Source organism: Homo sapiens, chromosome 10 (genome assembly GCF_000001405.40).
Source record: "Homo sapiens chromosome 10, GRCh38.p14 Primary Assembly".
Classification (NCBI taxonomy): domain Eukaryota; kingdom Metazoa; phylum Chordata; class Mammalia; order Primates; family Hominidae; genus Homo; species Homo sapiens.
Window position 1 is genome coordinate 27,598,495 of NC_000010.11, and position 1,632 is coordinate 27,600,126.

A 1,632-nucleotide genomic window follows, 5' to 3' on the forward strand; every position below is an offset into this window, starting at 1 on the left:
CTTTTCTTTTGTTCCTTCAACTTTCTAATTTCAACTGATGTGTGTTTGAGTTCTTAGATTCTCTCTTCTGCATGATCCAGCTTCCTGTTGAAGCTATTGAAATTTTCAGTCCTGTCATTGAATTCTTCAGCTCCAAGATATCTATTTGGTTCATTTTTTAATGGTTTCTATTTCTCTGGTGAACTTCTCATTTTGTTTATACCTTGTTTTCCTGATTTTGTTTAGTTGTCTGTCTGTGTTCTCTTGCATTATTGGGCTTCTCTAAGATGATTATTTTGAATTCTTTGTCAGATGATTTGTAGATCTCCTTTCTTTGGCGTGAGATATTGGAGCTTTATTAATTTCCTTTGGTGGTGTTATGGTAGTAACAGGTTTGGTAGCCTGATTCTTCATGATCTGTGTAGCTCCGCATTAGTGTCTGTGCATTTAAGAAGCAAGTACATTTTTCAGTCTTTATAGACTGGTTTTGGCAGGTAAAGATCTTCTTTTGTCAGCTCCCAGGGCTGATGGCATTTCCTCTAGGAGCACAGTCAAGTGATGCCATCACCCCTGGGATCTGACAAAAGAAGTCAAGTGGGGTTGTAGCCAGGTCATGTAGCTACTACTGGGCTCTGCAGTTGGCAGGTTTGTTACCAGTGGCTCAAGCAGATGTGGATCCTGCCTGGTATCTGGGTGAATGGATCTACTTCCAAGACCTTGGTCAGTAGGGCTGGCACTGGGACAAGGGTCTGCTTCAGGATCTGTAGTTGGTTGATAGTAGGCTTGTTACTAAATGCATAGGTGAGTGTGGCTCCTCCTGGATCATTGTGTAGGTCTCTGGGTGGGCAGAACTGACCTTGGACCACAGCTTGGAGGGACTAAGTCACAGGGCTGCTTCAGGGTCACAGCTAAGACTGAGCTCTTCAGGCCTGCCTCTAGGGGCACAGATGTGTGGATCTCCCACTGGGTCTTTTGGTGGGTAGGACTATTCCTGGACTATGGCTGAGAGGGGCTGAATTCTGTTCCTGGACTATAGCTGAGAGGGGCTGAAGCCAAGTTATAAGACTATTCCAGGATCTGTAGTTGGACCAAGGTGTGTGGGCCCACCTCCTAGGGTATGGACAGGTGTGTTTCCCAATAGGCAGGCACTGGGAAACTTCCAAACTGTGGCTGAAAGGGTCTGGAGCCTGGTCTTGGGCCTCTTCAAGGCTTATGATCAGGACTGAGGTCAGTGGGCCTATTACTCCAGGCATGAGCAGGCATGGCCCGTCCTGGGTCCTTTGGCAGATGGTGCCAGTGGCAGGACCAATTGGAGGTGTACCTGAGTCTACAGGAGGACAGAGATGCTAGGACCACAGTGATCCTGCCACCTGGGTGCTGGCCTGCCTTCTCAAAATGGCTCTCCTCAGTCTCAGGCTTCACTGAGCTTTTGTAACCTCCTACCTGGATCGAAAAACCCCCACAAGGGCACTTTTGTCCATGGATAGCAGCCAAAATATTGTTACTGTCGGGGGCTCCCAATGGCGGGCCCACCTATCCTGCCATCTTGCTTGCTGCCATCACTCCTCTATTTGTCTTTTTTTTTTTTTTTGAGACAGAGTCTTGCTCTGTCACCCAGGTTGGAGTGCAGTGGCATGATCTCGGCTCACTGAA

The 1,632-nt window shown here is 47.5% G+C and overlaps 1 annotated feature.

Moving 5' to 3' along the window:
* Positions 814–1,315: an enhancer, noted in NCBI's record as "H3K27ac hESC enhancer chr10:27888237-27888738 (GRCh37/hg19 assembly coordinates)". NCBI's record gives its function as "activates a minimal SCP1, AML or CMV promoter by ChIP-STARR-seq in primed H9 embryonic stem cells {active_cell/tissue: H9 hESC(primed)}" and the evidence as "EXISTENCE:reporter gene assay evidence [ECO:0000049][PMID:30033119]".